This window comes from Homo sapiens, chromosome 11 (genome assembly GCF_000001405.40).
Source record: "Homo sapiens chromosome 11, GRCh38.p14 Primary Assembly".
Taxonomy (NCBI): Eukaryota; Metazoa; Chordata; class Mammalia; order Primates; family Hominidae; genus Homo; species Homo sapiens.
In genome coordinates, this window is record NC_000011.10 from 100008319 (window position 1) to 100033336 (window position 25018).

At 35.7% G+C, this 25018-nt stretch overlaps 1 protein-coding gene across 12 annotated transcripts in view, besides 1 other annotated feature; it reads left to right on the forward strand.

The window, feature by feature from the left end:
• Window positions 1–25018, forward strand: part of CNTN5 (contactin 5) — a 1337937-nt gene that overhangs the window by 987370 nt on the left and 325549 nt on the right. The window lies entirely within an intron of this gene.
• Window positions 2119–2413: a silencer, noted in NCBI's record as "tiled region #1581; K562 Repressive non-DNase unmatched - State 13:Ctcf". NCBI's record gives its function as "represses a minimal TATA promoter and a strong SV40 promoter by Sharpr-MPRA in K562 cells {active_cell/tissue: K562}" and the evidence as "EXISTENCE:reporter gene assay evidence [ECO:0000049][PMID:27701403]".

Here is a 25018-nt window from a genome sequence, read left to right on the forward strand (position 1 = left end):
AAAACACAATAAAGTGAAGTGCAATAAAATAATGTGTGCCAGTACCTTCTGTCTTAAGAAAAAATAATTCACTTATTAATTCAGAGGTGTCAAAATATAAGAGTTGGGCTTTGTGTAGCTCATTTCATAAATATAGTAGACTAAAGTACCTCAAAGAACCTAGAACCAAATGCAGGTCTGCAAGCTCTGAAAGCCAACTATGTTCTAGGGACTGTCATATCTTCCAGGATTTCCATAGTCTCTGTTCTCAAAGAAATTGCATTATATCTTCAAATATTTTGCTGAATGTAATATTACACCTTGAGTCCATTCTTAATCATTATGTAAACATACACTATGGACCTTGACCAAGCTGTCCTCTAATAGCCAACCTTTATCTCCACAGAAATTCACTATTCGCCTTTTTGGTTCCAAGTTTAAACTAAGACTTAACAACCTAACAGCAAATTTTCTTCTTTTGAACTCTCTTTGGCCCTTGACATGATCTAATGAATCTTCGATAAGCCAAATTAGGAAATTTCTTTGATTTTTAAAGAATCATACATTCAAACCGTGTTAGAATACTGGTTCATTGTGATTTCTCTTGGAAAGTACAGTTACCTTTTTATGATCTGTCCTTAATGGTGTTCAGTTTTTGTTACTTAGAGCGTGCATATTAGTGCAGCTATAATGCACAGATAATTTTTCCATATATAAGCTTATATCTTTCCCATATTCTTTAAGAAAAAAGAAAACAAATAATTGTAGGTTATCAAATTTTACTATATTTTGATATCACCCAAATTTACCAACCTGCCTCATTTGAAGTTAGGTAAAAAGTCTACTAAAAAGCCATAAGCTGCAAGCTTTCTCCTAAAGAAACCTCTACTTAAATCTGAATTTAGCGAAAATTCAGATGTTTTCTCTACAGGCTGCTGGAGCAGAACTCAACAAGAGTGTACTAGTTTACTCCTAGAAATAGCTCTTAAAATAGAATTGCACAAGGTTGAGTACAGAACTTTTAAAGTGACCGTGACATGCTATATCATGCTATACTGTCTGTAAAGGTATTTCCCCAGAAAAATGGGAAGTGTTTCAAGAGAACCCATAGGGAAACAAAGGTATGTAAAGGCTTGGGTAACACAGCAAAGTGTAAAAAAAAAAATGGAGGGGGATTAATTAGTTGGAAAGAAAAGACTGGTTTAGACATATGGAAGGTTATTATCAAGAGATTGCTCACAAGCTGTTCTCCAGTTTCAACAAGGGAGGGAGTGAAATTCCAACAGTATGGGATTAAACTAGAAGAATTAGATTGGGTGTAATGTAGAAGTTCATGAAAAAATGAGTTGTTACAGGGAAACTGGGTTATCAGGAGAGGCAGTGGAAGCTCTTTGCCTGAACTGCTGTAAGAATATAATAATGCCCATTTGTCTTCTAATGGTTTAGATGTAATGTTCCCTGAAAGGAGAGAAATGATCTGGGTCAGGATTGGAAACGAAAATTTAAATATTTTCTTTTGCTGGCTGCCCATCCACACATTCTCAGGCTGAATATTAAGAGTAGAAGGATAGAATCAGGCAGACTTAATTAACTGCCTTTTGGCAGTGACATTATTACATAACATTTCAAACCGGTTGGTGGCATATCCAGGAAGTAGAAATGATGAGTGTTGACTTTTCTTGCTCAGCATTCAATCTAGGGACCTTAATGGAAATGGGGTTATTGTGGATATTTCCAAGGTCGGCTTTTAAACATCAGGTACAATACTCTTGAAAGGGATTGAGAGATAAAGGGGTCAAGGGACAATGCAAGCAAGGAATCCCTTAGGACCCTAATAAATATTTCATTTCAGTGGTTCTTTCTAAATGCAGTATATAATTAAACATTGGTGATGTTTTCAACTGGGTGTGCTCAGTGTTTAAGTCCAGCCCATACAAGTTGTTAACTAAGTAACACAGGGTAAAAATGAGAACTTTATGGAAAGTCAGTAACTACAGAAAGCAGCTACCATCTCTAGAGGTAAGGGGGGAAAAAAAGAATTAGAATTAATAAAAATTAGAACCTCAGATGTACCCCTAGGACCAAGAATTCTGAGGAATGGACGAAGTGGGACACAATGAAGCCTCTCCTGAAAGTGTTGGGAAAAAACTTGAACTGTATTTTATTGCTGCTAAGGGAAGGATTCCCTGCTGAGGTGCCATTCAGGGGCTATCGAGCTGACAGGAAGCCCCTGGGAAGCCCACAGGAAATAAACAACGATGGTGTTCCTTCTGGCTTCTTCAGCCTTGCAATCTCCCTACAGTGCCCCCTCCTGGCAGTGTAGAAATGTGGTTTTCAGAACCCTTGCCCCAGTACCACAAAGCCTAGTAGAGGATGGAGCTGAGAGGTGGTCATTTAAACAGTAGCACCAATTCCACTTGACATTTTCAAACCCATCTCTTAATCAACTGCACCCCTTACTATACCTCAGCCATCCTGGCTTTGCCACATCTGTGGCTCTGTGACACAGTTTCCTCTGTCTAAAATATCTATCCTGCCCCACAATCCTATTCAGTAAGGCTTACGTCAAATGCCCCTCCTCCATTAATCCTCCCTGCTTTTCTTGAGCTCCAGTCTCTTACCTTTCAGTGTGACCACCTACATTTCACTATTTAGCCTGCCCCACTGGAACAGCTATAGATATCTGTCTTCTTTAGTGTGCTGAATTTTGGGATCCCTAGAGCATTATTAGATGCAGCAGGTGCTGAATATGTACACTGAATGAATTCAGGTATGAGAAATGTGATTGATCTTTCATAACAGGAGGTGTGTTACTGCCTTTGGTTTGGCCAGACAGATGTCTCCAGATGCTTTCACATGTTTTGGCCTTGAAAATTCTTACCACATTTACATTAGCTATAGTTTTCTGGCAAGTTTCATTTCACCGTGTGACCTTTTACAGACCCTAGAAAGAGCACTAGATATGTCAACTAGCCTCCAACAGAAACAGAAGTAAAATCTGGTCACTGATGCTTAAATGACCCAATACACAAGGGCAAACAGGGTTACTCTGTAATAAAAAAGCCAAACGCTACAAAACAACATCAGTTTATCCATAATGACAGGCCTGCCAGCTAATAGTGTTACAGGCAGATTTTCTCTTTTTTTCTCTCTTTTTAAAAAATTTTACATGTTTCTTATCTTGCTCTTGCAGCCATTAACACACAATCAGATCTGCTCTGCTCAAAAGGCCTTGAACCTGTTACTGTAATAATTATGTGAATGACCTTTGCAAACTCATCTGAAATCTTGTGGTGAGGTGGGAGGGAAGAACACATTCAATTTCCTGCCCTTTTTAGTTCCTGCTTATCTCTCTTTCAGATACCATTTACAAATAGTCTTTTGTTACACTCCATCAAATGCCTATTAGGGAACCAGGGTATTAAGTATTTTTTTCTCTTTTTATATGTTTACTGTAAATAAAAAGCCACTAGTTATCAATTCATAAAATTATTTTTGCTGTAGTTTATGTTTTCCTTTCCTCACCCCTTAGCTAAGCTGTCTCAAATGGCTGCTCTTGTGTCCCATTGTAACTGTGAGAATGACAAATATTCCTCTGAGACTTCCTACAGTGTGCAACTGGCAAACGTTCCTGGAAGAACCTGCTCTTTAGTTACAGATTGATGATTTATTAATACTGTTTATTTGGAGCTGCCAGTCACTAAGGGCTGTAGGAATTAAAAATGAATTGGAGTTATGTGGTATTTGTCTATCAAACTAAAATCAAATTACTTAATCATTAGGTTGACAGAAGATCTGGGGATAGGAGTCAGTCTCTGGGTGTTGGAATCAATAAACATTTAGGCCTCACAGGAAAGTGGTGCATTACAGAATCAAGAAAATTGCCATCATGAACTATTGCTTGCTTTAGTATGGTTGAGATGAAGGACACATCCTCATTTCAGATGGTACCCAGAGGTGATGGATCCTAAAAGAACCTTAAGGATTGCATGACCTAACAAACGTGAATTTGTAAATGGAAAACTGAGACTTCTCAAGGAATGGCTAGACGTGTGGATGTACCGCTCAGGCTAATGTTTTGATGCAACTTCCTGTGATGTTCTTGACGTGTTCAACATTCTTTCATAGGGCAAACTTTGAAGGAAATATTTAATTTACTTATAGGCTTTTACACTGAGAGGTGTTATGTGTTTTCAGGGAAACAGGACCAATTTATTATTCACATTTAGAGTCAAAGTTAACTGGCATCATATTTCCAGCTTTTCCACGGCTGCCCTAGAACTAGTTAACCTGCCTCAGGAGAGAAACTGTATACATGTGCAAGGCCAAACAGCTAATGTGTGTGGCCTATAGAGGCAGAACTAGATACCCTGATGCTAATTAATAGTATTCTCAGTTTACAGTTTTTCAGTTGCTAAGAGTAATTTTTACTTTGTCACAGCAAACATTATATTCTGAATGCCCTGAAGCATCTCAGTGAGTGAGAATTAGGAATCTTAATAGGCAAGACAAGTTAACAAGAACATGAAGCAAAAGATAATCCCCAAATTGTAAGATTTTTACTTGGATTAGTTTAGACTTATCCAACAGCTTTCTTTTAAGTTAATCTCCCAGGAATTTCCATGGAAAAGTTTCTTCCTCTGGGATGATCGTAAGATCAGCAACTATCTGGATGCTGAGATTCAAAAACAGGATGTAAAGAATTACTTTATTAAAAGAATGAAGTTATGCCTTTTGCAGCAACATGTACATAACTGAAAGCCATTATCCTGAGTGAAACAACTCAGAAACAAAGAGAAATACCACATGTTCTCACTTACAAATGGGAGCCAAATAATGTGTACACATGGGCATATGCTGTGGAGTAATAGTCAATGGAGACTCAGAAGTGTGGGAGGGTGGGAAACGGGTGACAGATGAGAAATTACTTAATGGGTATAAGGTACATTAGTCAGTTAATGATTACACTAAAAGCCCAGACTTCACCACTACACAATATAGCCATGTAACCAAACTGCACTTGTACCCCATAAACTTATACAAATAATAAAAAAGACTTAGTATATCCATCAGAAGTTTCTAACTTTATTGTATCCCATACCCCTACAAGAATCACCAGGTACATAATCTTGACACTTGAATAGGACATCAGTGGAACAAAAAAGGACAATTTTAACCAAAAAGTTGTCAACAATCTGAGTATATGTAAAACTAAACTTCTACCTTGTCCTGGATGGTTTCCATATCACACTCAGATTCCAACAACATCTCTGACATGTTATCTCACTGGATTACAAACAGGAATGAATTTAGGCAAATTATGTATCCCATTTGACCTGTTTCCTTATTTTGAACTCTCACAGTCTTGGATTTCTAAAAGTGTTATATCATCATCATCCACAAATTCCCACTGAGTATTCTACTAGAAATTGAAATGTTTCCCTAACAGTTATCTCTTCTAATGGTGATTTAACAACTATATTGCTACTTTTAAAGCCGATTTATCTAACAATAAACTTGCTTGAATATCTTTGTTTGAGATCTCATTCTATCTCATATGTTTTATGACAATACTCAATTTTTAAATCTATCATAGTACATGTATTCTTAAAAGTAGTATGTGTCTTACTGAATCACTGTACTTTGAACTAAGCATGCTCGTCATGTGTCTAATATAGTCATATTTGTATTAGTTAAGCTAAGAGAACAACAAACTTCTCCACTAGAGAAAGATCAATTTAGAACTTCAAGAAGGTTTTCATATGCAGTTCTTAGAATGATTTCATGGTAACTTGGAAATTAGGTACCAAGTGTCAGTAATGTGCATGCCATTAGAATTTCATGCATTCAAAAATTTTGTATTTATTATTTCAATAACTTTGAAAATTTGAATATGTGATGATCTAGTGTGAATTACTAATGTTATATATACCACATTTGATGCAGCCCTCTGCATAACAGCAGTATCTCTAACTCACCTCAAACCATTGGCATCATTATCGACCTCTGCCAAATCTTCCATCCCAATCTGCCAGACATTTAAAACCTCTCAAGTCCCCCCTCTCCATTTTATTCTATTTTTCACAAACATAGTTCAAATCTATTATTATTGGACAAATTTGGCTCTCTTACCTCTGCTGCAAATAAGACTAGAGATGTTGTTGTCCCAGCTACTCAGGAGGCTGAGGCAAGAGAATCGCTTGAACCTGGGAGGCGGAGGTTGCAGTAAGCCGAGATTGCGCCACTGCACTCCAGCCTGTCTAAAGAGTGAGACTCCGTCTCAAAAAAAAATAATAATAAATTAAAAATTAAAAATACATAGATTTTTATTGATGCTTCATTAGCTTTGGGAATTTCTCCAAGTGCTGCTTTCATAGGCCCTGCTCCATTCACTTTATCTGTTTGGTTGTCTATTGTTCCCCGGACCTTATTCCTGGTTTCCAAATCACTCCTATCTCATATACTCTGATGTTATTTTGGACTTTTTATTTGATTGTTGACTCCAACTGCACCTCTTAATTTAGCCTATTTGATGTTCTTCAATACCTTGGTCCACAGCATGTGGGATCAGGCTGGGTTTCTAGAACTCCAAACCAAGCACAACTCTCCACACTCACCCATCATCAGCCTACATAAGGAGTTTTTATTATCACTACGGGTGACCATTTAGGCGTTTTCCAAAGGTATAAAATTTTAAATATCTTTGACTCTTTCTTCCTTTTTATCATCATCTGTTTGATTACCATAAATGTCTCTTAAATTGATTACCACTGACTTGGTGCATAATGAACATTTGTTAACTGAATTAAGTCATTTATCAATGTAATAGGTATATATATGTACTCAAGGGGAAGCACGAATAAACCAATATATTAAAAAACGTATAAGCCTGAGACTAAACATGTCTAGGCATTTAGATTGTAAAAATAAAAGCTCAGTCCGTCTTAGTCTCTATCTCAAATTATGGCATCATCCTAGTAGGGTGTTATGCAGTAATATCTGTGCTGGTATGCCCAAATTTCAGAAACAATTTTTCTACTTGGGTTCTAGCATGTTGAGTTGCCTTACCAAAGTCACTCTAATGAAAAACAAACTGTGATAACTTGCTAATAACCATCACTGGTGGCCCATTCATGTAAGAAATGCCCTCAGTGGAAACAGGACTAATTAAAAATCTGGTGGCCTATAAGCACAGAGTAAGAGCAAAGTGCACACACTTCCCTGTGGTCTGTAACTAACAAGGTACTGCAAATTCATGGATTGCAGTTCTTTTCTCAAAATATTCTTGTATATTTAGCACACATCAGCAAGATTACAAGCATCTCTTCTCTGGGTGGTGGTACGGAAAAACTAATTTTATTGTTGTGATTGTTATTATTCTGTACTTTTTCAAGACACTTAATTTTAAAAAACAATACAAATATTTTACATGATAAAATTTTTTAGTATTAGTTTCATGACCCTATATTAAAATTTCCAAAAGCATAGGCTTTTTTTAAAATTAATTACATAAGGTGTTGATGATTTCCTTTAGATTATTCAATAGGAATCCTATCCTTGTTAGGCACATACTTATAGTTTCTAATCTAGAATTATAATTATATGATGTCAGAAATATTTCTACAAATACTTAATTCCATTCATTCTAGTTCATTCTTGTTCTTCCCAATTCAGAATTTATTCTGACATGTACGTGATACATCATATTTATTTGTTTTTAGTATCCCTTGCCAGAGAGTTGTAATATGAGAAAACTTTCTCTTATGTCTCTGATGCTTTTAACAGGCAGAACACAGAAGACCATATATACAATTTATTTATGTTCTCACCAAATAAGTAATCAGAGACAAAAGTCTATGTTTACCTTTGGAATATCCCTCTCAGTGCATCATACAACTTGAAAACAAATGCCATAGATACGGGAGAAGGGAGGGTGAAATTACAGGGAAAGGCTGTTATCTGAATTACATTTTTCAAAAACATCTCCTATGCCCATATCATACAAGTAACATAAGTTTTATCTATCTCTGTAATAATTTTATTGTAAAGCAATTTGCTGTAAAGTTAAAATATTGCAACTTCATATTCTTTACTTTTATTTTGTAAATATACTATTTAAATATGCAATTAAATAAATGATTATACATGTGCAATGTATAATCAGTGTGGTTCTGAATTGTCTTATAGCTCATTCTTCGTTGCCTTAGATTATTCATGAATCTTCATTATATCTAGGCATTTTCTACTTTATATGACAGTGAAATAAAGGTTTTCATTATTTTTTGATTTGGTGCTTTTTACATCCATTGTCCCAGGCTGTTTGCTTGATTTTTGATGGTAGAGCCGTATGTACATGGTGGCATTTGCTACAATTAGATTTAATATATTTCTTGCATAAGTGAAACATGTAAGCATGTTTATGTATGCACATGTGTGTGTGTGAGTGGTTAAATCCACAGAAAGACTATTGAGAATGAATATGCCGAGACATAAACTCAACATCTACCACCCTGTTTTTTCTTTGTTTTTTAATTTACAATGTAATGTAGCAGCACCTACCTTGTGTGACCGGTCACTGGTTTTGTTGGTAGTTAAATGGTGCAGAACAGGTTCCATGTCAAAGCTTTATAAGGATGATTTTTGGTCTGAAAAACATAATTCTCATTAATAGCCAATAGATTTTAAAAAGATAGTCGATGAGAACATATGTCTGCTGCTGCTTTATGGTACCAAAGCTAAATGATAAGTACTTTTGATCATTTTTATTCCCACTTTTCTTTTCTTTGGGAGGTTGAATCAATCTACATTACAACTTTGAGAATGTTTTATTTATGGCCTTTTTCTCAAAGAAAGGTACATTATGAAATCAGGTCACTTGTTTTATATATCCCTACAGAGAAATGCAGCCTTCACAACATTTCCAAAAGAAGAACACACATCAGTATTTCCCGTACAGACACACAGAGGAAGAATATCTTCAAGCCTCCACTTCATGTCATTCCATTACATTTAGCCACATTCTGTTGAGAGAAAGCATAGATTTAGTAGACCCAATGCATACTTTTTTTGCATTTTAATATCTCTGAAATCCAGATGTATATTGCACTCAATGTTGTGTTGTAGTTTAATTGGCAGTGTTTTCTTTCTTAGAGATAGTGGTGTGTCTTAAAGTAGTGGTGTGTCTTACAGTCAAAGACTGTATCTTGAATGTGATAAACTAGAGTAAGATAGACTAAAATTGGCATATATAAACACTAACTTAGGGATCAATTAAATTAGAACCTGAGTGATGACATGTACTTCCTCCATCTATGTGCAGTTTAATATTTAAAATCTGAGTTAATAAACAAAAGATCTCTCATAGTACTGGAAAGATTTTAGAATAAATGATTGTTGACTACATATTTTCATTTTATAAAATCATCAAGAGTTATTGTAGCGTCAACAGTGTTTGTTACTCCAACCATGCCATCTATGGGATTTCACACACAAACACTTTTTGGAAAGAAGGGTTGAAATACAAAGGAAGCTAGTCCAGGAGAATCCCTCTGCCTGCACTGCCTGCATTATCTTTAGTCTGTGGGTTTTATTGACTATGTGTTACAAATAAAAGAAAATAGAATAGACAAAGACTGAAAGAGATTGTGCATCAGGTGGTTAGACCATTTGGTTATTGTTTGACTTTTGTTTGGGGGGGTAAAATGGGTATAATAGAAATAACAAATATTCTAATACATTTTCCGTGACTTAAATGTGTAGAGAAAACACAATATATTAAGTCAAAAGTACAATTAAGTAAATTAACTGTACTGCTAAAGTATTTCTTCAGGCATCTTTTTAAAAGCTTTATTGCCATATAATTGGAACACAATAAAATGTTTAAACTGTAGAATTTAACACATTTTAACATACGTATTTTTACCATGAAACCATCGCACAATCCACATAATAAGCATATCCAGTACCTACCTATTAACATTTCTACATGTACACTTATAATCTCTTCCTCCTTCCCATCCACGCATCCTCAACCCCAGGAAACTGATCCTGTATGTTTTGTCACTATAGACTACGTTACCTTTTCTAGTCATGCATAACTGAAATCATACAATATCTACTCTTTTGACCGAGAGTGGGAGAGTTTGCCTTTTTTCATTTAGAATTATTATCTTAAGATTCATACAAGTTGTTGAATGTGTCAATAGATCATTCCTTTATATTGCACAGTAGTGTTCCATTTTATGGCTCTACCACCATGCGTGCATCTGTGCACCTGTTGATAGACATTTGGATTCCATGTTTCAGCTATTACCATAAATCTTCCATGAACATTTGTTTAGAAGTCTTTATATGCACATAAGCATTGAAAGTTTTTCTTAGATAAATACTTATGAGTGGAATGGCTAAACGATATGGTAGGAGTATGTGTAGCTATTGAAAATATTGCTAAACAATTTTTCAAAGTAGTTGTACTATTTTGCATTATTATTAGCAGCAGTGTTGGAGAGTCCAAGTACCTCCACGTCTTTGCCAAAACTTGGTTAATCTGTAATTATGCCATTTAATATGCATGTAGTGGTGTCACATTTTATGTTGGATTCCCCAGTGACTAATGATATTGACTGTGTTATGTGCTTATTTGATAACTGCATATTTCTTTAGTTAATAGCTTGCCAATATTTTTGCCTGAGATGTTGATATTTTTATTATTAAATTTTGCGTGAGAGTTGTTTAAAATTCTGGAAACAAGTCCTTTATCATATATGTGATTCGCAAATATTTTCTCCCACTCTGGGACTGTCTTTTTATTGCCTTACTAGTGTGTCTCAAAAGGTACAAGTTTTAAATTTTGATGAAGTCCAAATTTTCAATTTTTTGTGGGGATTGAGATTTTAGTGCCATAGCTAAGATATATTTGCCTAAACCAAGGGCAAAAGGTTTTCTCCTACATTTTCTCCTAAAAGTTTTATAGTTTTATGTTTTCCATTTAAGTCTCTGCTGTATTTTGAATTAATTTTTGTATGATACAGGTATGGATCAAAGTTCATTATTTTCAATGAATATCAAACTTGGTCATCACCATTCTACTCTCCACTTATATGAGTTTGACATTTTTAAATTCCACATATAAATGAGATCATGCAATATTCGCGTTTCTATGTCTGGCTTATTTCGCTTAGCAGAATGTCCTCCAGGTTCATCCATGTTGTTACAAATGACAGGATTTCCTTCTTTTTCAAGGGTGAATAATATTCCATTATGTATATATATCACCTACTTTTATCTGTTTATTTGTTGATGGACTCTTAAGCTGATTGCGTATCTTGGCTGTTATAAATATATGCTGCCAAAACAGGAATGCAGATATCTTTAAAATGCTGATTTCAATTCTTTTGGATATATACTCAGAAGTAGAATTGTTGGATCATATAGTGGTTTTATTTTTAGTTTTTGAGAAATCTTTATAATCTTTTCCATGAAGGCTATACCAATTTACATGTCCACCACCAATTTATAAGGGTTCCGTTTTCTCCACGTCCTCGCCAATACTTGTTATCTTTTGTCTTTTTGTAAAAGTCATTCTAAGACATGTGAGGTGATACCACATTGTGGTTTCATATACCTGTTGACCATTTGTACCTCTTTTTTTGAGAACTGTCTATTCAATCCTTGGCTCATTTTCTCATGAAGTTATTTGTTTTATTGCTACTAAGTTTCTTATATGTTTTGGATATTAAATCTTTATCATATATATGATTTGCAAATATTTTCTCCCATCTCATAGGTTGTCCTTTTCACTCTGTTGATTGTTTGTTTTATCAGGCAGAAGCTTTTTGGTTTGATTTGATCTCATTTGTTCATATTTGCTTTGTTCCCTGTGATTTTAGAGTCATATTCAAAAATCTTTACAAGGAACAATCAAGAAGCTTTTTCCTCTGTTTTCTTTCAGCAGTTTTACAGTTTTAGGTCTTACATTTAAGTCTTTAATCCATTGAAAGGTGATATTTGTATATGGGGTGAGACAAAGGCCCTATTTTATTCACCTGCAAGTGAATATCTAGTATTTCCTACACCATTTATTAAAGACTGTCCTTTCCTCATGGTGTGTTGTTAGCACCTTTGTCAAATAACAGTTAACTGTAGATGTGTCAACTCGTTTTTTGATTCTCAATTCTCTTCCATATGCCTATATGTCTGTTTCTGTGCCAGTACCATGCTGTTTTGATTGTTATAACTTTGTGGTAGATTCTGAGATCAGGAAGTATAATGCACCCAGTTTGTTCTTTTTGCTCAAGCTTGCATTGGCTATTGAAGATCTTTTATGGTTTCATATGAATTATCTCTGTTTGCAGATGACATAATCTTATATGCAGAAAACATTAAAGAGTCCAACAAAAAGCTATTAGAACCAATAAACAAATTCAGTAAATCGCAGAATACAAAATCAACAGACAAAAATGAATGGTGTTTCTGTACACTAACAACAAAGTATCTGAAGAAATTAAAAATAAATCCATTTACAATAGCATCAAAAAGATAAAATACTTAGCAATAAATATAACCATGGAGGTTAAAGGTTTGTACACTGAAAACTATAAAATATTGATGAGAGAAATTGAAGAAGAAAAAAATAAATAGAAAGATACCCTCTGTTCATGGATTGAAAGAATTAATATTGTTAAAATGTCCGTACTGCCCAAAGCAATTTACGAATTCAATGCAGTCCCTATCAAAATTCCAGTTCTATGATTTCTAATTTATTTTATGAATTTTTTTAAAATTTAGTTATTTATGAGTATGTTATTTAGCTTCCAAATATTTTAGCATTTCTCTGTCTTTCTGTTATTAATTTCCATTTTAATTACATTATGGTCAAATAACACACTTTTTGTGATTTAAACTCTTTAAATGTATTGAGACTTGTCTTATGACAAAGAATTTGTTGTATTTTGGTAAATGACTTATGTGCACATGGGAATTTACATACTGCTGTTAGTGAGTGGACTAGTCTACAAATGTCAAATAGCTTAAGTTGGTTGAATGTGTTGCTCAAATCTTCTATATCTTTATTGATTTCTGTCTAGTTCTTCTGTAAGTTATACAGAAAAGAGTTGAAATTTTCTAATATATTTGTAGATCTGTCTGATTCTCCTTGCATTTCTATCACTTTTGCCCCATATATTTTGAATCTCTATTATATAGTGTACATACTTTAGGATGTTTATGCTTCTCGATAAATTGTCTCCTTTACCACTATAAAATATTCCTGTTTATACATGATAATATTTTTTGCTCTAAAATCAACTTTGTCTGATATTAATACAGATACTTCAGCTTTCTCTTTGAGGGACAGAACTAATAGGATGTATGTATATATGAAAGAGTGTTTATTAAGCAGAAATCACTCACATGATCACAAGGTGAAGTCCCACAGTAGGCCATCTGCAAGTTGAGGAACAAGGAAACCAGTCCAAGTCCCAAAGCAGCAAATGTAGGGAAGCTGACAGTGCAGCCTTTAGTGTGTGGCCAAAGGCCCAAGAGCCCCTGGCAAACCACTCGTGTAGGAACAAGAGTTAAAAAGCCAAAGAACTTGGAGTCTGATGTTTGAGGGCAGGAAGCAACCAGCACAGGAGAAAGATGAAGGTTGGAGGACTCAGCAAGACAGCTTTTTCTTCTACCTTCTTCTCCCTGCTTTTTCCAGCCTCACTGGCAGCTGATTGGATGGTGCCCACCACATTGTGGGTAGGTCTTCCTGAGGGTGGGTCTTCCTCTCCCAGTCCACTGACTCAAATGTTAATCTCTTCTGGCAACACCCAGAAACACCCAGATACACCCAGAAACAATACTTTGCATTCTTCCATTTAATCAAGTTGACACTTAATATTAACCATCACAGCATTATTTGCAAGGTGTATTATTTAACCTGCTATTACTTTTAAACCGTTTTGAGTTTTCATATTTAAAATAGATTTCTTTTAGGCAGTATGTAGTTGGGTCTTACTTTTTAAACCAACATAACAGTATCTTCCTCTTAAAGTAGTTATTGACATGGTGTGTTTAAATCTAGCATCCTGCTATTTGCTTTCTATCTGTCCCCTATGTTCTTTGTACATTCTATTCTTTATTCTACCTTCTTTTGTGTTAATGGTGTATTTTATTCTATTTTATCTCTTTAGTTAGATAGTATTACTTCTCCACATATTATAAAGCCCATAGTACAATGATACTATTTGTTTGACTTTAAACAGCTGGTTAATCTTTCAAAGAGATATAAATAATGAGAACATTAATTTATATTTGTCCATGTAGTTACCATTTTCAATGCTTTCAAATTCTTTGTTTAGATAACTGGTTTAATCTGGCGTTATTTTCTTTCGGCCTGTTCCTCCAACATAATTGTAGGTAGGCCTAATAATTATGAATTATTTCAACTTTTGTATGCCTAAGGAATGTCTTTATTTCACTTTTGTTTTTAAAACATATTATCACTGATTAAAGAATTACAGACCAATATCTTCTTCCTTCAGTACTTCAGATATGTTTCTCTACTATTTTCTAACTTGTATAATTTTTGACAAGAATTCAGCTGTTACTCTTATATCTGTTCCTGAGTATATAATGTGGTTTTTTTTCTCTGACTGCTTTCAAGATTATCTCTTTATAATAAGTTTTATGGAATTTTATTATAGTGTACCTAATTTAGTTTTCTTCATGTTTCTTGTGCTTGTGGTACATTGAGCTTCTGGGAGCCAAAATTTTTGACCATTGTTTTTTCAAGGAAGTTTTTCTATTCTCCTGCTCCTTTTAATTTGGAAGCTACAATTACACATATAATAGTCTGTTTGAAATTACCCACTGTTCAACGATGCTGTGATCATTTTTCATCGCTTTTCTTTTGTCTTTGTATGTTTCACCTTTTGATAGATTCTATTGCTGTATCCTCAAATTTACTAATTTTCTTTCGCAATATTTGATCTTCTGTTAATCACCTCCAGTGTGTTTTATCAGACAGTGAAATTTTGATTTTTTCAGGATTTTTTTAAAAAGAACTTTATTGTTTAGAGCAGTTTTAGGCTGACCGCAAAAGTGAGCAAAAGTGCAGACATTTCCTATATCCTGTCTGCCCCTACACATTCTCAGTCTCCTCTGTTATCATCATCTACCAGGATGGTACATTTTTTACAACTGAGACACCTACAGTGACATATTATTATCACACACAGACCATAATTTGCATTAGAGTTTTCTTTTAGTGTTCTAAATTCTATGGATTTGAATAAATGTATAACAACATATATCTACCATTACAGTATCATACAGAGTAGTTTCAAAATCCCTACAAATCTTCTGGGTTCCATCTACCCATCTCTCTGTTATCCCTAACCTCTGGCAACCACTGATTTTTACACTGTCTCCAGTTTTACCTCTTCCAGAATATCATATGACTGAAACCATAAAATATGTTGCCTTTTCAGGTTGGCCTTTTTAAATTTAGTAATGCACACTTAAGTTTTCTCCATGTCTTTTCATGGCTTGATAGCTAATTTTTTTTTTAATACTTCATGTTGTTCCACTGTCTGGATATACCACAGTTCATTTATCTATTCAGCTACTAAAGGACTCTTAGCTGCTTCCAAATTTTGGTACTTATGAATAAAGCTGCTGTAAATATCCATGTGCATGGTTTTGTGTCGATATAAGTTTTCAACTCCTTTTGTTATATACCAAGGAGGGTGATACAGCTAGGCTTTTTATCCCCACCCAAATCTCATCTTGAATTGTAATCCCTGTAATTCCTATAAACTCCACATGTCAAGGGAGAGACCAGGTGGAGGTAACTGAATCATGAAGGCAGTTTCCTTCATGCTGTTCTCATGATAGTGAGTGAGTTCTCATGAGATCTGATGGTTTTGTAAGGGTCGCTTTCCCCTTTGCTAGGCACTTCTCTTTCCTGCCACCTTGTGAAAAAGGTGCCTTGCTTCCCTTTCACCTTCCCCCATGATTGTAAGTTTCCTGAGGCCTCCCCAGCCATGTGGAACTATGAGTCAATTAAACCTCTTTCCTTTATAAATTACCCAGTCTCAGGCAGTTCTTCATAGCTGTATGAGAACTAATACAACAAATTGGTACTGGGAGTGGGGCACTGCTATAATGATACCCAAAAATGTGGAAGCAACTTTGGAACTGGGTAACAGGCAGAGGTTGGAACAGTTTGGAGGGCTCAGGAGAAGACAGGGAGATGTGGGAAAGTTTTGAACTTCCCAGAGACTTATTGAATGGCTTTGACGAAAATGCTGATAGTGATATGGACGATGAAGTCCAGGCTGAGGTGGTCTCAGATGGAGATGAGGAACTTGTTGGTGACTGGAATAAAGGTGATGCTTGCAAATGCTTTAGCAAAGAGACTAGTGGCATTTTGTCCCTGCCCTAGAGATCTGTGGAACTTTGAACCTGAGAGAGATGTTTTAGAGTGTCTGGCAGAAGAAATTTCTAAGCAGCACAATGTTCAAGAGGTGACTTGGGTGCTCTGAAAAACATTCAGTTTTATGCCTTCACAAATAGATGGTTTGGAATTGGAACTTATGTTTAAAAGGGAAACAGAACCTAAAAGTTTGGAAAATTTGCAGCCTGACAATGCGATAGAAAAGAAAGACCCATTTTCTGAGGGGAAATTCAAGCAGGCTGCAAAAACTTTTATAGCTAATGGGAAGCCAAATGTTAATCACCAAGACAATGGGGAAAATGTCTCCAGGGCATGTCAGAGGTCTTCACTGCAACCCTTCCCATCTAAGGCCTGGAGGCCTTGGAGGAGGAAAATGGTTTTGTGGGCTGGGCCCAGAGCCATGCTGCTTTGTGCTGTCTTAGGACTTGGTGCCCTGCATCCCAGCTGTGGCTGAAAGAGGCCAAAATACAGCTCAGATCATTGTTTCAGAGGGTGCAAACCCCAAGCCTTGGTGGCTTACACATGGTTTTGGGCCTGCAGGTACACAGAAGTGAAGAATTGAGGTTTGGGAATCTCTGCCTAGATTTCAGAGGATTTATGAAAATGCCTAGATGTCCAGGCAGAGGTGTGCTGCAGGGCTTGAGCTTTCATGGAGAACCTATGCTGGTGCAGTGCAGAAGGGAACTGTTGGGTTGGAGACACCCCCTGCAGAGTCCCCACTGGGGCACTGCCTACTGTAGCTGTGAGAAGCGGTTCACTGTCCTCTAGACCCCAGAATGATAGATCCACTGACAGCTTCCACCATGAGCCTGGAAAAGCTGCAGACACTCAATGCCAGCCCATGAAAACAACTGGGAGGGGGACTGTACCCTGCCAAGCCACAGGGGTGAAGCTGCCCAACACCATGGGAACCCACCTTTTGCTTCAGCATGACCTGGAAGTGAGATACAGAGTCAAAGGAGATCATTTCAGAGCTTTAAGATTTGACTGCCTCACTGGATTTTGGACTTGTATGGTGCCTGTAGCCCCATTGTTTCAGCCAATTTCTCCCATTTGAAATGGATTTGTTTACCCAATGCCTGTATCCCCATTATATTTAGGAAGTAACTAACTTGCTTTTGATTTTACAGGCTCATTTGTAGAAGGGACTTGTCGTGTCTCAGATGAGACTTTGGACTTGGACTTTTGGGTTAATGGTAGAATTAATTAAGAATTTGGGGGACTGTTGTGAAGGCATGACTGCTTTTGAAATGTGAAAGGGATATGAGATTTGTTTGGGGCTAGGGGAAGAATGATATGTTTAGGGTTTGTGTCCCCACCCAAATCTCCTCTTTAATTGTAATCCCCTTAATCCCCATGTGTCAAGGGAGAGACCTGGTGAAGGTAACTGAATCATTGAGGACCATTTCCTTCATGCCGTTCTCATGATAGTGAGTAAGTTCTTATGAGATCTGAGGGTTTTATAAGGGGCTCTTCCCACTTTGCTCCACACTTCTTCTTCCTGACGCCTGGTGAAGAAGATGCCTTGCTTCTTCTTCACTTTCCACCAAGATAGTAAGTTTCCTGAAACCTCCCCAGCTTTGAGTCAATTAAACCACTTTCCTTTATAAATTGCCTAGTCTCAGGAAGTTCTTTATAGCACTGTGAGAATGGACTAATACAGACAGCAATTACTAGATTGTATGGTTATAGTATGTTTACTTTTGTAAGAAACTGGCAAACTGATTTCCAAAATGACTGTACTATTTTGCATTTTCACCAGCAATGAATGAGAGTTCTTCTTGTTCTATTCCTTGCCAGCATTTGGTGTTGTCCATGTTCTGAATTTTGACATAAAGGCTGTGTAGTAGTGTTTCATTGTTATTTTAATTTGCATGTCACTCATAATCTGTCATTTGGGGCATGTTTTCATATGCCTATCTGCCATTTGTGTATATTCTTTACTGAGGTCTCTTTAAGGTTTTTGGCCCATTTTTTTAGTCAGATTGTTTTCTTATTGTTTAGTTTTAAGAGTCCCTTTTATATTTTGGATAGTAGTCTTTTATCAGATGTCTTTGCAAATATTTTCACTTAGTTTGTGGCTTGTCTTTTTATTCTCTTGACAGTGTCTTTTACGAAGCATAAAATTTTAATTTTAATGAAGTCCAACATATCAATTTGTTTTTTCATGGATTATGCCTTTGATAGTGTATCTAAAATGTCATTATCAAAACCAAGATCATCTTGATTTTGTTCCCAGACATTGAAGTTTTTATCTCTAAAATTCTGATTTGGATTTAAAAAAAAAATCTCTTCCATAGTTGTACTTAACATGTTAAGTATTTTCTCTAGGTTTTGAACACATGAAATGTAGTTATAATAACTGTTTTAATGTTCTTGTTTACTAACTCCATCATATGTGTCATTTTTATGTTTTGGTCAATTGTTTGTTTTCTTCCTCATTATGAGTTACATTTTCCTGATTCTTTGCATACCTGAAAATTTGTATTAGATGTCAGAAATTTGAATTTTACCTTGTTGGAAATTGAGCATTTTTGTATTCTTGATCTTTGTTCTGAGATATGGTTAAATTACTCAGAAACATTTTATTCTTTCAGTTCCTATATTTATGCTTTTTCAGATAGGAACTGAGCAGCATTTAGTATTGGCTTAATTTTTCCCCACTGTTAAGGTTAAGACCTTTCTTAGTACTCGAACAAATGCCTCCCTAATTATGATATTTTCCACATGGATGTTAGGTTAGGAACTATTCCTGGCCTGTATAAATTCTGAGCACTGGTCCTTCTAATCCTTTCAGTGTGTCCTTTCCTATTTTAAAATAGTTTTTCCATATGGATGCACTAGTCATTACTGAATTGAATACTCATGAGGGATGTCCTGTAGATCTCTAACACTCTTTCTCTGCACAGCTGTCCTCTCTCGTTTACTGTGAATTCTAGTTGCTTTAGTTTCTCCAGACTCCCAGATCTGTCTTTTCAACTCAGAAAGACAGCTGAGCTTTGCCTAAGTCTCCCTTGCTATGCTGTAGAGTGAAAACTTTGTCCAGGGAGCAAGCTTGGGCAGTTGTATGATTTGGCATGTTAATTTAACATACTTCAAGGATTACTGTCCTTTATATGCTGATGCCTAATATTTTGCGACTATTCTTTCATGTATTTTGTGTAGTATTTAGCTAATTTTTCTCATTTTTATTTACTCAGTAAAAAGTGAATGAAAGATAGAAGTTGACCCAAACCTGCTCTAAATGTCTTTATCTAACCAAGAGAATAGAAATAAAGTTACCTGCATTTGGAATATTGCATATTTTACCTGTCCTTATTTGAATAAATTATGGGAAAAAAAACAGCAACTGAAAGGTAATAGAGTGATTCTTTGACAGAATCCTTTCTCAGAAAGAGTTTAAAACAGAAACAGTAAAAAGCTACAGTAAAGTACTAATTTAACCTACCATTCCTTAAAAAAAAAATCTGCTGGATAAAATTCACAAGGACTATAACTCTTCTGTAGTTGAATAGGTTACATTTTTCAGTGCCAAGTGACAAGAGAAAAATAAAGGTTTAAAGTACCTAATTTCAAATATCAGTTCAATTATCTGCCACCTCTATGACACCAAATAAATTATCCTCTCTGAACTGCATTTTCAAAATTAGGAAAGTAGGAATAACAATTCCTACATCATAGAGTTACTATTAGATTTCTCCAAGAGACTCAATACATGAAGACCTGTCATTCATATGTTAATTTATTATTTCACCCTAGTTTTCTAGAGTATTTGGGGAGCATTGTTTACTTTATGAAGCATTTGCCTATCCTCTAACATTCTCCTTCTTTCTGAAACGCCATCCAAGACACAGTCCATTTCTCAAGCTTTCCTTAATCCAAGTATGCTTGCATTCTATAAACCTCTCTCTGCTGCCCTTCAGCTTTTCATGGTGTCAACTGAAAATAGATGGTAGAAAATTCACTCTTTGGCTTTCTGCTTACAATATATATTGTCATGTGCCCTAGTAATCCAAAGAAACTCTGAACCCACAAAAATGTTTCTATAGATATGAAATATTGGGAATAATTTGTTAGTTCTATCTTTCCCAAACATTGTTTCAGGTCAAACCTTTCTTTTTTTCCTGTGAGTTTAAAGAGTATTTTCTAAAGCTGATTTTACTTACTAGGTCTAGGGTGACATTTTACTCTGGCTGCTGTTAATACTTAAAATATTTTGTACTATTTCTTTAGCATCAGATTTGGCATTCCTAACTAAGAAAATGCCCGGAGGCCACAAAATTTAAAAACTTAAAGACCAAGAGCCAAATACGTTAGAAGATAGAGAGAGAGAGAGAGAATAAATATTGCTCTACCATTAGTTTTTCTGCCTTAACGGCTGTTGGAAAAACATACATGTGATTCAGATATAGAAAAAAAAAAATGACAAAACAAAACAACTTGAATCATGTCTAAGAAAGTCTGGTTTTAGTTATAATATCAACTGAAATATTCTCTGCCTAAAACAGGCCATAGTGACTTTAAATCACTAAATAAGACGATTTAAAAACATGCTAATTGGCCGGGCGCGGTGGCTCACGCCTGTAATCCCAGCACTTTGGGAGGCTGAGGCGGGTGGATCATGAGGTCAGGAGATCGAGACCATCCTGGCTAAGACGGTGAAACCCCATCTCTACTAAAAATACAAAAAAATTAGCCGGGCGAGGTGGCAGGCGCCTGTAGTCCCAGCTACTCGGGAGGCTGAGGCAGGAGAATGGCGTGAACCCAGGAGGTGGAGCTTGCAGTGAGCCGAGATGGCGCCACTGAACTCCAGCCTGGGCAACAGCGAGACTCCATCTCAAAAAAAAAGAAAAAACATGCTAATAGAATGCAGATATTAATATAATTCAAGATAAATTATACTGAAAGGTAAATTTGAGTCTGCTATTCCTTCATAATTGAGACTGACTGTGGAGTATTCTACCCCTTACATGAAATGATTAATGGACTATTCGTACCCCTAGCTTTTGTAATGATTTTTTAAGTTAAAAAATCTTTTAATAATTAAGTTTAATTTTAAACAGTTAAAGATTGGGAATGAATCTTTACAGCCCTCTCATTCTATCTTTACACCAAAATAATGACCAATACTGTCTGTTAAATTTTTTAACCTATGCTTCTGTCATCTATTTAAAAATGTAGAGTATTAAGGCTAGTTCTTGTGCTTTACTTGAATGGAAATTCATTAAAAACACTGTGCTCCACAAATATAAACTGAATAAATGTCAGCATTCATAAACTGTTCTGTGCTCTACTTTGAACTGTAGTGTGGTTTCTTTTTAACCATTTACCAAATAGTAAAGAACATGGCTGTAGGTCAGGCATGGCTTACACCTGTAATCCCAGCACTTTGGGTGACTGCAGTAGGAGAATCACTTGAGGCCTGGCGTTCAAGACCATCCTGGGCAATATAGAAAGACCCCATCTCTAAAAAGAAAAAAAAAAATTAAAGACTAGCTATAGTGGAATGCATCTGTAGTTCCAGCTACCCAGGAGGCTGAGGCATGGAGGATTGTCTGAGCCCAGCAGTTTGAGGCTGCAGTGAGCTATTATTCAGTCACTGCAGCCTGGGCAGCAGAGCAAGACCTTGTCTATATTAAATAAATAAATGCAGTGACTGTAGTAGACAGCAGAAGTCTCTGTCTTAAAAATAGGTGAAAGCCATGTCCCCTAATTAGAATAGTATATCATTAACATGGCATTTTTACCACCTGACCCCGTTAAGCTGTGCCATAGATATGCACAATCCATTGTGAACCAATGTCACAAGTGTGCCATGTATTGTGTATGCCTCATTGTCCGCTTGTCTCTATTTGACTTTGGTGTATACCCTGTAGAACAAAAGGGCTGATGTACATGAATGTGTACATTGAATATGTACAAGAATAATGACTTCATAGAGAAATATTTTCTCTCTTTCTAGCTAGAAGTTTACTTAATGTCTTTTTCAGTTTACTTACTTATAAAACACAAAAGATAAAGCATACTTCTTAGGCTTCTGTGAAAATTAAATGATATATCAGATAAAATCCTGTAACCATGTTAAAGCTCAATGTTAAAGCTCAATTAATCATACCTATATAGTGATAGAATCTAAGAATCAGGGATGGATCTAGAGCTGGAAGACCACATTTCCCAAATACAATTTTTTCGTGAATTAAGGTCTAAATAGATATTAAATAACTGCCATAAGTCTCCCATAATGTCATAGGGCTGGGTCTAGAATGTCCATCTTAGTACCATTGCTCCCCTACACTTTCCACTGCACAGTCTATAGGTGCTAGCTTTACTTAAAACTCTAGCAGCTGCTAGCATCAAATATTATGTGTGTCTAACTTCTTAACAGAAGAATGGAGATTTTACTTTCTCCTGGTACTTGATAGAATTCATAGGGTCAACCATGAGCACATGAACTTCTATATCACACGAAACTATTGCTACGGAATAAAAGATGAAATGCTCCTGATTATTGTAAATACAAAGTTGCATGTGGGATTGTGTAAAGACAATGCCAGGTTGGACTGCCAGAATGAGCCAACAGCGCATGATGTGCTTCCCCCTGCAGAGAGCCTATGAGTGGACGTGCAGTCAGGGAGGTTTCACATCACCAAGATTCCTGTCCCAGAAAAGCAGATGTTCATACATCTGGGAATGGAATGCGACCCTTGTGGAGAGCCTATAAACGGATGCATGAGGGGCGCCTGTCCATACAGATAAGATAGGGCTATAAATGCCCTCATCTTGCCACAGCTCTTCTAGGCCTCTTTAGGGTTAAGGTATACTCCCTTCTGAGAATTTCTGGTCTAACCAGTTGTCTAGCTTCACGTCCTGTTTCTATGGATTTTTTGTAACCAGCTTTTGCTGCAACTGTTACTGCTGATTAATATCTTGCTAATCATAGGTTATGGAAAGACTGTTTCTGTTTTAAGGCTCTGTTAGAAATTACTGATGCACATGTTATATTGTAAATTCTTATCTCTGTATACTGTACTTCTACATACAGGTGTTATGTGAAAGAATTACTTCATCCCCATATGACCATCTCACCTCATGATCAAATGATCCTAAATCCCTCACTAACCTACCCCTGCCCTCACTAAACTTAATAACAAATGCTGGTATATCCAGTGCATTGGTGGCACCACGGGACCAGAAGGTGGTGACCCCCCTGGACCCAGCTTTCACTGTCTTGTGTGTGTCTATTATTTCTCAACCTGCCGATCCACATAGGAACAAGGAGAGAGCCCTGTTGCATTGTGGGCTGCTGGCCAGATCCCACAATAAAAGTTCTAATGCACCTAACCATATACTCTATTCAACTTGAAACAATGTTTCAGGAACCCAGGGGCTGCAGGTGAGAGATATAACTTTACTTTTATATATTTGGCCCATGAAGATTCTGAGAAGGCAGTCATTCTGAGAGTATCACTATGACAGTATCATTAGATGCAGCAAATTAGGTTATCTGAGTGTTCTAGTGCTTTTTTTGCTGTAGTATTTAGTTATATTAATGTGGATTTTGTTCTATTACATTAAAGAATTATAGTTTATTTCACTATGGAATATTTAAATATTATTATCAATTTCAATCCTATTCTTCAATCCTAGCCAAAACAGGAGGTGATTCAAAAAAGACAGTTATAAATTTAAAAAGCCTTGAAATGTTCTAGAGACAAAAAGTGGTATCTTCTTACATATATTTGTGAATGTAATTAGCAAAAAATAATGATATATATATATATAAAATAAAAGTTTGAGGAGTATTAAGAAAGTACTAACTGTCAATGTTTTCTGGCCAGAATTTTATACCAGTGCACCAAAACATAATTCTTGTATGACTTTGTTATGACTTTGTTATGCAATCGTTGATGATATTTATTTGCCTCATAATGTCGTTTTTAAACACTCAATCTGTTTTCTTATTGCTGCCCACATTTGGGGGAAAGAAATTCACAAGTAACTTTGCCAAAAAGGAATTTTGTAATGTTATTCCTACATAGTCTTTGAGTATAAAAATAGGTATAATCAGTATAAAAGAATGTCATTTTTCCAGTCTAATCTACAAATAAGAATTTTTAATGAATGAAGATTTTGGTAGATTTCCAGCTTCAGTTCCATTATTTTAATAGAAGAATACAATTCTTAAAATTTTACCTAGTTTTTTGTTTTAATAAAATGTCTATTAATTTGCAACATTATAAAAGACTATATACTTTTATAAAACTCTGTGCTGATGAAAACAAGTTGAAAATTAAATAGGGAGGTAATATGGTCACAAACTTTGTGGTATTTCTGTAAGAAAGACTCTTTTTCTATGTAATTTTTAATTTAACATCTCCACTTTTGACAGAATATAGACAGTTTTTAAAGTAATAAAATGTAATGAGCCCAGACGTGCAGACTACAGTGTTCCAAACTATAAACGTCAAATTAGGGAGAAGCACGGGAAACTAATCAGCTTTTCTGGCAGAACCTGGAAAACTACAATAAGAGGTGAGAGTGAGGCAGGAAATAAAACAGAGTAAAATAAGGGAGATTGTTTAAAAACATTTTATT